At 40.4% G+C, this 16,184-nt stretch overlaps 1 protein-coding gene across 1 annotated transcript in view, besides 4 other annotated features; it reads right to left on the reverse strand.

Moving 5' to 3' along the window:
* PJA2 (praja ring finger ubiquitin ligase 2) overlaps positions 1–14,522 on the reverse strand; it is a 75,253-nt gene extending 60,731 nt beyond the window's left edge. The window contains exon 1 of the mRNA NM_014819.5: positions 14,390–14,522. The gene's annotated coding sequence lies outside the window, so the exon portion shown is untranslated. The remainder of the gene's footprint in view (positions 1–14,389) is intronic.
* Positions 13,607–13,706: an enhancer, noted in NCBI's record as "active region_22879". NCBI's record gives its function as "activates an Ori minimal core promoter by ATAC-STARR-seq in GM12878 lymphoblastoid cells {active_cell/tissue: GM12878}" and the evidence as "EXISTENCE:reporter gene assay evidence [ECO:0000049][PMID:35858748]".
* Positions 13,747–13,866: an enhancer, noted in NCBI's record as "active region_22880". NCBI's record gives its function as "activates an Ori minimal core promoter by ATAC-STARR-seq in GM12878 lymphoblastoid cells {active_cell/tissue: GM12878}" and the evidence as "EXISTENCE:reporter gene assay evidence [ECO:0000049][PMID:35858748]".
* Positions 14,387–14,466: a silencer, noted in NCBI's record as "silent region_16224". NCBI's record gives its function as "represses an Ori minimal core promoter by ATAC-STARR-seq in GM12878 lymphoblastoid cells {active_cell/tissue: GM12878}" and the evidence as "EXISTENCE:reporter gene assay evidence [ECO:0000049][PMID:35858748]".
* Positions 14,977–15,156: an enhancer, noted in NCBI's record as "active region_22881". NCBI's record gives its function as "activates an Ori minimal core promoter by ATAC-STARR-seq in GM12878 lymphoblastoid cells {active_cell/tissue: GM12878}" and the evidence as "EXISTENCE:reporter gene assay evidence [ECO:0000049][PMID:35858748]".

The raw sequence follows: 16,184 nt of genomic DNA on the forward strand, positions 1-16,184 counted from the left end.
GGAGATGGAGGCTGAAGTAAGCCGTGATTGTGCCACTGCCCTCCAGCCTGGGTGACAGAGTAAGGCCCTGACTTCGGGGGAGGGAATAAAAATCTTCCCACAAGGAAAACAATAGGCCCACAGGTCTTAATAGAAATTTCTATCCAAATATACAAATAGATAATTCCAGTGCTAAACCTGTTTGTCCAGAGAATAGAAAAGGATTTCATAAGCTTGTTTTAAAGACATGTAGCTCATTTTAAGAGCAGAGTAAAATCTTCATGAACTAGCCAGACAAGGCTCATGCCTGTAATCCCAGCACTTTGGGAGGCCGAGGCCAGCAGATCACATGAGGTCAGGAGTTCAAGACCAGCCTGACTAACGTGGTGAAACCCCATTTCTACTAAAAATACAAAAAATTAGCTGGGTGTGGAGGCACATGCCTGTAATCCCAGCTACTCGGGAGGCTGAGGCAGGAGAATCACTTGAACCCGGGAGGCAGAGATTGCAGTGAGCCGAGAATGCACCACTGCACTCCAGCTTGGGCAAGAAGAGCGAAACTCTATCTCAAAAAAAAAAAAAAGAAAAAAAAAGAAATGGCCAGACAAGCAGACAGGTTACAAAAATAAAAAATTAGATGTCAACTCCAGTGATAAAGAAAGAAAAAGTCTGAGATATTAGCAAGCCATTACAGCAATATATTTGAAAACAGTATATACTGAGTCTACTGCAAAAGACTCATCATTAGATATGATTACTTCTATTTTCATTAGTAAACACTTCAGTGGATGGAGAAAAAGCATTCAATGAAATTCAACATTCATTAAAGTTTAAAAGAACTCTCAAGAAACCAAAAATGGAAAATAATTTACTAAGCCTTATAAAACTAATCAGTCCAAAAGGTACGGCAAAATTATACTGAATGGTGAAATGTCAGCATCATTTTCTTCTTAAAATACCAATCATTACTTCTACTTAACATGTAAAGTTCTTTTTTTTTTTTTTTTTTTTTTGAGACAGAGTCTCACTCTGTGGCCCAGGCTAGAGTGCAGTGGCGTGATCTCGGCTCACTGCAACCTCTGCCTTCCAGGTTCAAGCAATTCTCCTGCCTCAGCCTCCTGAATAGCTGGGATTACAGGCATGCGCCACCACGTCCCGCTAAATTTTGTATTTTTAGTAGAGACGGGGTTTCACCATGTTGGTCAGGCTAGTCTTGAACTCCTGACCTCGTGATCCACCTGCCTCGACCTCCCAAAGTGCTAGGATTACGGGGATGAGCACCGCACCCGGCCTAACATGTAAAGTTCTAACCATCGCAAGACCAAAAAAAGAAAAAAAAAAAAAAGGCAGGGGTGGGGGTGGGGGTGGGGGAGAAAGAGGAAAATAACCGATACCAATGAAACTAGGAATCTGTAAAAAGTAAAACTAAAAGTCTACTAAAGAAAGTGAAAAGAAATATAAAAGAAAAAATTGAGACATATAAGAAAATTTAGTGATATTGTCAGTGCTATGGTTTGAATGTTTGTGCCATCTTCCAAAATTCTTAATCCACATTGCGGTGGTATTAAAAGGTGGGGTCTTTTGAAAAGTGATGAAGTCATAGGGCTCTGCCCTCATGAATGGACTAGTACCTTATAAAAGGCTGGGGGAAACTACTTAGCCCTTTTCGCTCTTTCATTTTCTGCTGTGTAAAGACAAGCAACAGGTGCCATATTGGAAGCAGACAGCAGCCCTCACCAAACACTAAACCCACTGGCACCTTGATTTGGAACATCCAGGCTCTAGAATTGTGAAAAATAAATTTATTTTCTTTATAAATTACCCAGTCTTAGGTATTTTGTTATAGCAGCAGGAACAGATTAAGACAGACAGCTATAACATCAAGATACAAAAGTCACTACAGTAAACAGCTATAAAAAGTTAATTTTAGAAATGCACCACTTGTAGGAGTTCCACTTCTACAGGGTATAGAAAGCTGGAGTGTCATTCCCAGTTCAGTTGTGAAACGGACTGACTGCCAACAAGGGAAATGAATGAAACCCTTCCTCAACACTTCTCCTAGTAGAAAAAAAAAAAGCAACAACTTTATTTTTATTTTATTTTTTGAGACGGAGTCTCGTTCTATTGCCCAGACTGGAGGGCAGTGGTGCGATCTTGGCTCACTGCAACCTCTGCCTCTCAGGTTCAAGCAATTCTCCTGCCTCAGCCTCCCAAGCAGCTGGGATTACAGGCACCCGCCACTACGCCCAGATATTTTTTGTTTTTTTTTTCTAGTAGAAACAGGGTTTCACTATGTTGGCCAGGCTGGTCTTGAACTCCTGATCTCAAATGATCCACCCAGCGTGGCCTCTCAAAATGCTGGGATTACAGGCGTGAGCCACGGTGAACGGCCAACAACAACTTTAAACCACTAGGGAAGGGCAGCAATCTCTGTCCTCCATTGCTGCTAGGGTATGAGTAAAAGAATCTACTCATCTGACAAAGGGCTAATATCCAGAATCTACAAAGAACTCAAACAAACTTACAAGAAAAAAACAACCCCATCAAAAAGTGGGTGAAGGATAGGAACAGACACTTCTCAAAAGAAGACATTTATGCAGCCAAGAGACATATGAAAAAATGCTCATCATCACTGGCCATCAGAGAAATGCAAATCAAAATCACAATGAGATACCATCTCCACACCAGTCAGAATGGCGATCGTTAAAAAGTCAGGAAACAACAGGTGCTGGAGAGGATGTGGAGAAATAGGAACACTAGTTCAACCATTGTGGAAGACAGTGTGGTGATTCCTCAAGGATCTAGAATTAGAAATACCATTTGACCCAGCCATCCCATTACTGGGTATATACCCAAAGGATTATAAATCATGCTGCTATAAAGACACATGCACACGTATGTTTACTGCGGCACTATTCACAATAGCATAGACTTGGAACCAACCCAAATGTCCATCAATGATAGACTGGATTAAGAAAATGTGGCACATATACACCATGCAATACTATGCAGCCATAAAAAAAGGATGAGTTCATGTCCTTTGTGGGCACATGGATGAAGCTCGAAACCATCATTAGTTCTCAGCAAACTATTGCAAGGACAAAAAAACCAAACACCACATGTTGTCACTCATAGGTGGGAACTGAACAAGGAGAACCCTTGGATATAGGAAGGGGAACATCACCGGGGCCTGTTGTGGGGTGGGGGAGGGGGGAGGGATAGCATTAGGAGATATACCTAATGTAAATGACGAGTTAATGGGTGCAGCACACCAACACGGCACATGTATACATATGTAACAAACCTGCACATTGTGCACATGTACCCTAGAATTTAAAGTATAATTTAAAAAAAAAAGAAAAAGAAAAAGACCTTTACTCCTAGAGCAGAGTCAGGAAACAGTTTATAGTCCAGGCTCCTATACCAGTACACTGAAGATTTGCTACCACTGGGGAAGGAGCAGAAAATCTCTCCTGCACAAAACCTATCAAAGAAATGGGGCCGGGTGCAGGGCTCAGGCTTGTAATCCCAGCACTTTGGGAGGCCAAGGTGGGAGGATCACCTGAGGTCAGGAGTTCGAGACCAGCCTGGCCAACATGGTGAAACCCCATCTCTACTAAAAACACAAAATTAGCCGGGTTTGGTGGCACATGGCTGTAATCCCAGCTGCTTGGGAGGCTGAGGCAGAAGAATCGCTTTAACCTGCGTGGCAGAGGTTGCAGTGAGCCGAGATCACGCTAATGCACTCCAGCCTGGGTGACAGAGTGCAACTCTGTCTCAAAAAAAAAAAAAAAAAGATATGAGGCAGAGTTTGGCTACCATGGAGAGAAGGTACAGCATCATTGGCCCATACCCAAAAACAAGAGACAAAGGGCTTGTGTAACACTGAGTACAGATAAGGAAGACAGAGAAAACTCTGCCTCCATCTCCAGGCTAGTCAGCATCAAGAAACAACAGTCTACTGCTGGGGATAATGACAGTGTGTGGAGAAACTTCTCCACTGAGGTATGGGCACACAGAGAAAGCTGAAAGTTGACAGTGAAGTAGGAACACTTAGAAAAATCAGGCACTTCAGCTGTCACACTAAGCACAAGGTAACACTAAGCACAATGCAACCACAGAAACGAAATCCAAACCCATCTCAATCACGAATTAGATTGAATCAACCCCACACCACACTAAAAGCCTAGCAGATGCAGAAGCAGACTCACATCCAGACATAAGAATTATTTGCCACAATCTCTACTGTTCTGCATATAAAGTCTGCCATTCAGTCAAAAATTACAAGACAAAAAAGCTGAGGAGGAAAAAACCCTCTTTATCAAGAGACAACAACAAACAGAACCAGATAAAGCAATTAACAGAATTATCAGAGAAGAAAATTAAAATAACTATGATTACCCTTTTAAAGGCTCTAGCACAAAGGTAGGAACATGCATCAACTCATGAGAAATTTCAGGAGAGATGAAAATGGAAATGCAAAAAATAAAAAACAGTTAACAGAAATGAAGAATGCATTCTATGGGCTCATTAAAAAACTAGGGGAGGAAGCTTTTAGTGAGCTCAAGATAAATCAGGCCAGGCTCAGTGGCTCACACCTGTAATCCCAGCAATTTGGGAGGCCAAGATGGGTGGATCACTTTAGGTCAGGAGTTCAAGATCAGCCTGACCAACATAGTGATACCCGTCTCTACTAAAAATACAAAAAATTAGTGAGACGTGGTGGTGCACGCCCATAATTCCAGCTACTCAGGAGGCTGAGGTACGGAGAATCGCTTGAAGTCGGGAGGCAGAGGTTGCAGTGAGCCAAGATCACACCACTGCACTCCAGTCTGGGTGATGGACTGAGACTGTCTCAAAAAAAAAAAAAGAAAAAGATAAGTCAAAAGAAATGATCCAAGCCTAGATAAAAAGTGATTTAACTGAAAAGAAACATGTTAAAAAACAACAGCAACAAAAACCAAAACAGAGCCTCCAAGAATTGTGGACTGCATTAAATGAGCTGCCATGAGTTTAACTGGAACCCCACAAAAAGAGAGCAAACCAGCAGGGGGAGGGGGGGGAAGGGCGGGGGGGTGTCGCGGGCAGTGGAAACATTAGAAGAGAAAGATGCTGTGAATTTTTCATACATTATTTAAAAGATCATAAATCCCAAGAAGCTCAGTGATTCCCCCCTACAAAAGCAGTATAAATACAAAACACACAAAAATGTACACATATCCCAAGATGTTAACATCTTTAACCTGCTATAAAAAACGAATGATATGGCCGGGCATGGTGGCTCACACCTGTAATTCCAGCACTTTGGGAGGCAGAGGCAGGTGGATCACGAGGTCAGGAGATTGAGACCATCCTGGCTAACATGGTGAAACCCCGTCTCTACTAAAAAAATACAAAAAAAATTAGCCAGGCATGGTTGCGGGTGCCTGTAGCCCCAGTTACTCAGGAGGCTGAGGCAGGAGACTGGCATGAACCTGGGAGGCAGAGCTTGCAGTGAGCCGAGATGGCGCCACTGCACTCCAGCCTGGGAGACAAAGCAAGACTCTGTCTCAAAAACAAAAAACAAAACAACAACAACAAAAAAACCAAATGACACATGCCTGTAATCCCAGCACTTTGGGAGGCCAAGGAGGGCAGACCACTTGAGGCCAGGAGTTTGAGACTAGCATGGCCAACATGGTGAAACCCTGTTAAATACAAAAATTAGCCAGACGTAGTGGCGGGAGCCTGTGATCGCAGATACTTGGGAGACTGAGGCATGAGAATCACTTGAACCCGGGAGGTAGAGGTTGCAGTGAGCTGAGATGGCGCCATTGCACTCCAACCTGGGCGACAGAGTGAGACTCTGTCTCAAAAACAACCGCTACCACCACCAATGACAGCCTGGGCACAGTGGCTCAGGCCTGCAAATGCAGGATTTTTGGAGGCTAAGGTGGGAGAATTGCTTGAGTCTAGAAGCTCAAGGCTATAGTGAGACAAGCTTGTACCACTGCACTCCACTTGGGCAACAGAGCGAGACCTTGTCTCAAAAAAAAACAACAAATAAAATAAAATTTAAAAACCACTGATAAAACATATTTGATACTGACAGCAGAAAAAAGGAACTAAATAAGAATCACAGCCAAATTCTTATTTGAAACTGTGCAAGTCAAAAGATAATAAATAGCATCCTTAATATTAGAAAAACACTGTGAACAATAAATTTATATCCAGCAAAATCTTTCAAAAGAAAAAGTGAAACAAAGTATTTGTGAAACAATCTTTGGAACTTTGTTACCAGTAGAATTGAAGTCCAAGAAATGTGAAAGGAAGTTCTTCATGCAGAAAGAATAAGCACTGGAAAAGAGGCCACTATAACACAGAAAATCAATTTTAATTTAACTTGTACTAACTACTTTAAATTCAAATTTAAATAGCTACACTGGCTAATGACTACCATACTAGACAGCACAGGAATAAAACAAATATTACAAGGTATTATGCATTTATGGCATTTGTAAAAGGTAAAACAGTAATAGCACAAAAGATAAGGAGAAATTGTAAATATACATTGTAAATATACTGTTGTAAAGCTCTGACACTATATAAAATGTGGTATAGTATTGCTTCCATATGGTCTATTATTAAAGATGTAAAATATAAATCACAGAGAAGCCAATTAACTTTTTAAAAGAGAGGAAAAGTTGAGTGTAAGTAGTGAGCCAATGGTGAAGATAAAATGCACTCAAAAATAGGCATCAGAGAGCACATAAGTAGAAAACAATTAAGATTGTATATTTAAATCCAACTACATCAAAATTACATTAAATGTAAATAGTCTAAACACTTCAATGTAAAAACAGATTTTTCAAGATGAATTAAAAAAGGCTGTCTAGAACAAACCCATTTTAAATAAAAGACAGATTAAATGGATGGAAAATAATATACAAACACTAAAAGGAGGCTGGAGAGGCTGTATTAATATTAGATAAAGTAGACTTTGGAATGAGGAATACTATCAGAGATAAAGAGGGCATTATATAATGATTAAGGGGTTCATTCACCAAAAAGTTTTAACAATCCTAAATTTACATGCACCTAACAGGAGGTTCAATACACATGATGCAAAAACTGAAAAGGAGAAATAAACAAACTTACCATTATACTTGGAGACTTCAACTCTTCTCTCAATGATCAATGAAACAAACAAAAACTCAGTAAGGAAAGAGAAGGCCTAACAAGCATCATCAATCAACTTGATATAGAATACTCCACTGCTAAACAGCAGAATACACATTATTTTGAAGTGTACATGGGACATTTACTGAGAGTAACCATATTCTGGTCATAAAACAAATATCAAAGAATTTAAAATAAATTATACAAAGAAAGAGACATGCAAAATCACCAAATATTTGGAAATTAAACAGCAACCTTCATGGGTCAAAGTGGAAGTGACATAAGAACTTTAAAAAAAATCAGTGCATCAAATTTGTGTAAGCACCTCAGGCAGTGCTTGGAAGGAAAAGAAAAAAGGTCTCAAGTCAATGACCTAAGCTTACACCTTAATAAATTAACATAGAGGAATTTAAACCCAAAGCATATAGAAAGAAATAGTAAGAAGCAGAAATCAATAAAACTAACAATTAAAAAAAAAGCAATCAAATAAAAAGTTGACTCTGAAAAGATTAATAAAATAAACCTAGAACCAAATAAAAATGAGAGGTCACACTGCTAATAACAAGAATGAAAGGAAAGACACCACTACAGACGTTATAGGCATTAAAATAATTAAGAAACAACTTTATGACAACGAATAAATGAAATAAGACAAATGCCTTGAAAGACAAAAACTACTAACGCTCACTTAGTGAGTGAAAGTGATTCATACAAAGACCGAAAGCTTTCAAGAAGAAATAGATAACCCTAATAATCCTGTATTTATTAAAGGATAATTGGACTTATCCTTTGAAGCCTTCCAGCAAAGAAAACTCTAGGACCAGAAGAGTTCACATGCAAACTCTAAAAAAAATTGTAAAACAAATAATACTAATCCTAATAAATTCTTTTTCAAAAATATAAGAAACACTTTGCAACTCTATGAAACCAGCATTATATGAAAAAGTATCTTTCATGAACATAGATGCAAAAAAAAAAAAAATTTCACCAATTTATAAAAATGATAGTAGATAATACACCATCACCAAGTGAGGTTTAACCACAGAATGGAAGATGATTCAACATTCGCAAATAAGTTAACGTAATTCATCACATTAACACAGAAACAAACCATATGATCATCTCAATAAATACAGTAATAATACCTGACTAAAATCAACATCCACTCATGATTTAAAAAAAAAAAAAAAAAAAACTCTCTGCCAGGCGCAGTGGCTCATGCCTGTAATCCCAACACTTTGGGGGGCCAAGGCGGGCAGATCACGAGGTGAGGAGTTCAAGACCAGCCTGGCCAACATGGTAAAACCCCATTTCTACAAAAATACAAAAAAGTTAGCCAGGCTTGGTGGCGTGTACCTGTAATCCCAGCTACTCAGGGGGCTGAGGCAGAAGAATCACTTGAACCCAGGAGGCGGAGGCTGTAGTGAGCTGAGATGGTGCCACTGCCCTCCAGCCTGGGCAACAGAGCAAGACTCCATCTCAAAAACAACAACAACAACAACAACAACAACAAAAACCTCTCAGCAATCCAAGAATAGAATGGGAACATCCTCAATATGATAAAAGGCCACTTGTCTTAGTCCATTAGGACTCCTATAACAAGCTCCCATAGACTGAAGTGGCTTATAAACAACAGAAATTTATTTCTCGGCTGGGCGCGGTGGCTCACACCTGTAATTCCAGCACTTTGGGAGGCCAAGGCAGGTGGATTACCTGAGGTAAGGAGTTTGAGACCAGCCTGGCCAACATGGTAAAACCCCGTCTCTACTAAAAATACAAAAATTAGCCAGGCATGGTGACATACGCCTGTAATCCCAGCTACTCGGGAGGCTGAGGCAGAATTGCTTGAGCCTGGGAGACCGAGGTTGCAGCGAGCTGAGACTGCCACTGCACTCCAGCCTAGCCGACAGAGCAAGACTCTGTCAAAAAAAAATAGAAATAAAAATAAAAGAAATTTATTTTTCACAGTTCTGGAGGCTGGGAAGTCCAAAATCAAGGTGCTGGTAGATTCAGCGTTTGGTGAGAGCCACTTCCTGGTTCACAGACTGCAGTTTTTTCACTGTGTTCTCATACGGCATAAGGGGATAGGAGCTCTCTGGGACCTCTTTTATAAGCACACGAATCCATTAATGAAGGCAGAAGCTTCATGACCTAATCACCTCCTTGAGATCCCCCTCACAATGGGGATTATGTTTCAATGCTATGAATTTTGGAAGGGACATAAGCATTCAAGCTATAGCACCACTCTATCACACTCAATAATGAAAGATTCAAAGCTTTCTTCTTAAGATCAGGAACAGAGAAGGATATCTGCTTTCACCACTGCTATTCAACATCATAATGGAGGTCTTAGCCAGTCTAAGAAGAAGAAAAGGTGGAAGGAGTTACATATAAATTCAAAAATAATAAAACTGATCTATATTTGCAAATAACATGATTGTCTACATAGGACAATTCCAGAGAATCTACAAAAAATTTACTCAAATGAATGAATTTAGCAAGGTTGCAAGCATCAAGGTCCATATGCAAAAACCAACTGTATTTTTACATATAGCAGTGAATAACTGGAAACTAAAATTTAAGAAAATTATCACTTATAATGGTATCAATTATTAAATACTTAGATATAAATCCAACAAAATGAGCAACATCTTCATGCTGCAACTACAAAATGCTGACAAAGGAAATGAAAGAAGACCTACATAAATGGAGACAACCTGTATTCATGAATTGGAAGACTCAAGATGTCGATTCTTCCTAAATTGATCTATGCATTCGACACAAACCAAATTAAAATCCCTTCAGGTCTTTTTGTAGAAACCAACACGCAGCCTCTAAAAGCTTTACGGTAAAGTTAGAATAGCCAAGGCAATTTTGAAAAAGAATAAAGTTCAAGGATTCATATTACCTAATTTCAATACTTATAAGTAAAAATAACCATGATAACTCAGTACTGGCAAAATTATAGGCATAAAGATCAAGAGAAAAGTACAGGAACAGATTTACATATATGATCAACTGACTTTTGACAAAGTTAATTCAATGGGGAAAGGAAAGTAGTCCCAACAAATGGTGCTAGAACTACATATACATTTGAAAAGAAAATGAGCCTTGACCCTTACTACACACCATATACAAAAACTAACCCAAAATGGATAATGTGCCTTGACATGAAAGCCAAAACTAGAAAACTTATAGAAAAATCCTAAGAGTAAATCTGCACAACTTTGCATTAAGCAAAGAGTTCTTAGAACACAGAAGCACAAATCATAAGAAAAAGTTGGTAAGATGAATTTATCAAAATTAAAAGCTCTTCTTTTAAAGTTAGGAAAATAAAAAAAAAACAAGCTTCAGATTGCAGTGTGTGTGTGTGTTTATGTATCTCTGTGTGTCAAATGAGTTGTATAAAGAATGTATTAAAAAATGCTTACAACTCAATAAGACAAACCCATTTTTTTTTTTTTTTTTTTTTGAGACGGAGTCTCGCTCTGTCGCCCAGGCTGGAGTGCAGTGGCACGATCTTGGCTCACTGCGAGCTCCACCTCCCGGGTTCACGCCATTATCCTAACTCAGCCGGAGTAGCTGGCACTACAGGTATCCGCCACCACGCCCGGCTAATTTTTTGTATTTTTAGTAGAGATGGGGCTTCACCGTGTTAGCCAGGATGGTCTGGATCTCCTGACCTCGTGATCCGCCTGCCTCGGACTCCCAAAGTGCTGGGATTACAGGCGTGAGCCACCGCGCCAGGCCCACCCATTGTTGTTTGTTTGTTTTTTAATGAGCAAAAAATGTCAACAGATACTTCACAAAGGAAGACATACACTAGAGCAAATTCTCAGCACCATTAGTCATCTGGTAAATGCAAATCAAAATCCCAGTATGATACTACTATATACCCACTAAAAGGGCTAAAATTTAAAAGACTGAAATAACCAAGTGCTGAGGATGATGTGGAGCAATTGGAACTGTCATACACTGCTGATGGATATGTAAAATGTGACAACCACTCTGGAAAACAGTTTGGCAGTTTCTTATAAACATCCATGTATCATACAACCCAACAAGTTCCATGTCTAGGTATTTACCAAGAAAAAAAAGATGTTCACAAAAATTCAAAATAAATGAATGTTCATTGAATAAAGGAATGTTCAACAAATGAAGGCTATTTATTAATAACAGCCCCAAACTGGAAACAATCCAAGTATCTGTAAATAGGTGGAATGGTCAACAAACTAGTAAATCAATACCAAGGACTTCTATTCAGCAATAAAATGAGAACCCGTTAAATACAGAAAAACATGGATAATCCTGAAAAACATGCCAAGAGAAAAAGCCAGATACAAAAGAGTATGTATTACATCATTCCACTTACATGAAATTCTAGACAAAATGATACCAATTTATAGCAAGAAAAAGATGATAAGTGCTTTCCTAGTCCTGAGGGTGAAATTGTGATTGACTGCAAAAGGGAACTTTGGGGGAGATGAAAATATTCTATATCTTAATTGTGGTATGAAAATATTCCACTCTTGACTGTGGTGGTGGTCACAGAGCACATATTTGTCAAAACAAAATACACTGTACATTTCAAATAAGTACATTTTACTGTATCTAAGTTATCCTCAATAAGGTTGATTTTCTAAGAGGGTGCTCTCTCAGGAAAATATAAACCAGGGAATACTGGTGATGCCCACATATACCCACCTCAAAAGATGTCAAAAAAATATATATAAGAAAACTCATTTATGGTTTTTAAAAATGTCAAAAACAACAACATAAGCATCTTGGAAAGCCAAGACTAGAAGGAAATATTTTAATATCAGCGGCTTTACCAGAAAGCTTCACCAAACATCATAATTAATGCTAAAACATTAGAAGCATTCCCCCTTAAAGTCAGAAACAATGCCATGTTTGTTGTTAGCTATCAGTGCTATTAGTTTTTAATCTACCAGTGCTCAACATTTTATAAGATGTATAATTGCAAAAGCAATGAGAAAAACACATAAGTTATAAAAACTGAAAAGGAAACCACAAAACTGTGAATATCTCCTGATAATCAACTCAATAAAATAATCTGATACATGATAGAAAACTCAAAAGTTTTGCTATAACCAGAGAAAACAGAGAGAGAGAAATGTTACTGAAAGTTTCCATCCACCACACGAATCAAACCATAAAATAGGAATACCAGGAAGGAATGTTATACGTATGAAGAAAAAAAAGAAAAACTATAAAAATTTCCCTAACAGTATAAAACAAGATGTGAATAAAATGGAGAGGCCACATTTCTGAGGAGAGAGACTCAATACTATAAAGATCAGTTGTCTCCAAATTAATCTAAAATTTCAATATAACCTTATTCAAAATAGCTAAGGATTTTTAGTTCAGTCTAAAGTTTACCTAGAAGAAGAAATGCATAAGAAACATTCAAGAATATTTTCAACAAGAGTAATAAAGAGGGAGAAAGGGTTACCAAAATTTAAAATATGCATAATCTTTTAACTGAGCAACTTCACTTCTAGGAACCCATGCTCCAGAAATAATCACACATAGAGGAAGTTTACTGAATTGTTAACAGTGGCTGACAATCAAGATGCAAGCAGGACTAGAAGTGGAAGCGGTAATTTTTACCTTACATTCTTCCATACTGTTTAATTTTTTAAAATCAAGGATGAATTAAAATTTGTAATTAAACATCGATCAATAAATTAGAAAGTTATTTTCATTATAAATCATCATTTGTAATAGCAAAAAGAAACTGCAATTAAATGTCTTTCAAAAAGGGAATAGAATAAATTATAGCCCATTCAAACTCACGAGATACCAGTTAGCCTTTTAAAAAGTATTAGGGAGACCTATATGTAAAAAGTAAAAATGTCCAACATATGTAATTAAGTCAATAAGCAAGCGGTATGCAAACATGTTTGGTATATGGTATAGCCTCCCTCAAAAAAAAAAACTTTACGTGTACTTGTATGTGTCTAGAAGTGCATTTGCAAGATTTTGAAAAATGAACACTAAACTGTCAACTTTACACTGGAGTGGGACTGGGGGATGAAAAGAAATATTTAAATTTTACCTAACAGTCCGTTATTTATATTGTTGAAGTGTACATCAAACTTGCATGTCTGCAATGAATTTTTAAAATTAAGTGGTCATCTCATATAAAAATGACATGAACCCCAAAAGACAATTACAACACTGAAAAATACAGTTTAAACGTTTATTACTGTTATCCTCAGGTTTATTCACATACACTTCAAATGATCCGTAGCCTTCAGCAAAGGTGACTGCCATTTTAAAGAAATGTGACCAAATATTTCATGATAAAACAGAATACATTAAGCCTGCAATGAAAATTTTAAACTTCACAGAACCAGCAGACTCAAAAGAAGCGCCTATGCGGATGTAAATTTTTTTTTTTTTAATGTCCGGAGAAGGAACTCTCAGATTACTCTCCTCCCTGCAAAACGACTATTTACCACCTCCCCTTTGCTTCAACTTGGTCTGAGCGTCTTTAACCTCACCATTTTGAATGTGCGCAAAATGATTACCAGTCATCTGAGGGAGGCCAAATTAAAGGTGCATCTGCAAGAGGAGCTCTGGCCTGACATCGCTAACTGAGAGCAGCCCTGGCGGAAAGGTGCTGATCCCGGGAGTAGAGCGACTGCTGCGGCTCGAGCGGGGTGTCTGCGTGCCGAGCCTCACTGACAATCGGGGAAAATGCAGACGCCCAGCAAAACGACGGCAACAGAAGGCTCCTCGGGGGAGGGGTGCTGCAGGCCTGTGGCGTAAGATGGTTCCGCTCTACGCGGGGTGACGGGAAACCGCAGAAGGTGGGTGTGAGGTGTTGGTTGGGGGGCAAACTCTTGTACAGTGGCGAGTGTAGGGGAAAGCCAGCGGGCTCCTTGGCCAAGTCACCAAGGACAGCAGAAGAGGCAGCAGTAAAGAGCGGCAGCGAAGACCCCGATACCAACCAATGTCATCTGTCGGGGGGCGGCGGGCGCGACCGTCCCGGATAGGAGCGCGGCCCGGGTCCGGGCTGGACAGGGCCCAGGAGGCGAAGAAGGCCTCCCACAGCCATCAACCCCACCCACCATGGCCGGCGCAGCAGGCCAGGGACAAGCCCCGCTCCTTCCGAAGCTAGAGACAGAGAAACTGAGGAGCTGAACGCAGCAATTTCCTCGCCCCGACCCCCACACTCCCGACAGCGGAACAAGCCAGACTGAAAAAAAAAAAAAAAAACCCTCACCGAAATGTGCAGCGGCTCCGGAGCGAGAACAGCGCTCGAACCTCCACCCGCCACCACCGCCTTCTTCTCCGCCTCCAACTCCTCCCCCGCCGAACGCGAAGCGGCTGGCGGCTGTGGCGGCGGCGGCGGCGGTGGCGGCGGCGGAAGCAGAGGCGGTGGCGGTGAGTCCCGCCCCTTGCGCCGCGGTGGAGGCGAAGGAGGAGAGTACGCAAGCCCCTCCCCCATAGCAGAGATGACCAGTCAGCTTACAGGGTCTCTGCTGGGGGACAATGCATACGCCCAATCAGAACCTGAGGAGTGGGCTCACGTCAATGGTTGGGACGTGGCAGAAAAAGGGAAAAATACTTGGACCTTCTCTACAGCCTGCTCCCCCATCTCCCTCAGGGGGAGTTCACCAATTGGCTGAAGAGCGGAAAGACGAAGCCGACTCAGTCCCCCGCCCCAGCCGAGCCCACCTCCTTTCCCTGCAGTACTGCGACGTTTGGGGAGGGGGCGGAGCACCGTGTAGGAGCTAAAACTGCGCGGCCTTTTGTGGTTTGGGCTGAGAGAAAAGGGCGGGGTCTCGGAAAGGGAAGGGGGTGTGGAGAACTAACAGAAAGACTGGCGCAGTTAGGCTTTTTCGGAAATTCCAACAGCAACAACCAAAATGGAGGCATTAAAATCGATCCTGATTCGACTGGAAACCTGATTAACAAGGTTAAGGTCTCCTGGCATAAAGTTCAGTTACAATGCAGATATCGGTGAGACAAAAAAAAAAAATGACACGAAGAAAGGCTTGTTTACCCACCCTGACCCTGGGCACTATATGGCGCTTTCCACCCTCCCTCTCCGCGCTGACCCTTGCCCCTCGCTTCTTATTCTGCTGGGGCGGGGTTCAGAGGAGGCCTGCCTTTCCTCTGTATAGCCTTGGGCTGACCACAGCCTCCCAGCTTGCATCTTGAGGCTGTTTGTCAAGCCGGGAAGTAACAGCTCCCATCACATGCAACCAAAATAAATACAACAGCTGCAGTCCCCGGACACCTTGCTTAATTTAAACCTGGGTAACAGTTTAGTTAATTATGTCAGTGATACAAAACTGTTTCTTCGTTCCGCACATATTCCCTTTATTCATCTTGAAACGTGTCCGCTTATCTGATTACAGTCCCTCTGTCTTCTCTTATTCCCCACCCCCGACCCGTCGCCTGATGCCCAGGATATATTCATCGCCACCCCTCCCCCGCGAATTAAGAGCCCCACTTCTTGTGCTGTCCCCTTAACAACAGCGAACTCTCTTGCCAGTGAACTGAGACTAATTTTTTTTTGCTGTTGATGGAAATAAATTACCCAAAATTTACTGTAGAAATTTAGGTTTATGAGAATTTGCCAGACATTTTGTGAAATCCAATCTGAATCCCAGCCCACTCCTGTAGTACGTTTCTTACCAAAAAACCATTCCTTGCTTGATATTACTCTGCCTTCACACGTGTTGCTATAGGAGTTCTGACTTTAACCATCCAAGTACCTCTTTGAAAAAAAACAAAATTCATATTTTAATTACATTTCCCTAGTTTCCCTTTAGGGTGTTCCAGATTGGCCCAACTGGATACATTAACCTGTTCTAGAAGGCAGGGATTCCCAAATTTCAACCTTTTTCATACTGTATCTGTGTATACTACTCACTGTCCTTTTTTCTTTAAATAAATGTATATTTTCTTTAATTTCTTTAAGAAGGAGACTTTATAAAAGTACTATAAATGGAAAACTAGCATCACCTATTATAAGTTGAAAGTAACTGTAAGAAAAATGAATGCAAAAC

This window comes from Homo sapiens, chromosome 5, assembly GCF_000001405.40.
Source record: "Homo sapiens chromosome 5, GRCh38.p14 Primary Assembly".
Taxonomy (NCBI): domain Eukaryota; kingdom Metazoa; phylum Chordata; class Mammalia; order Primates; family Hominidae; genus Homo; species Homo sapiens.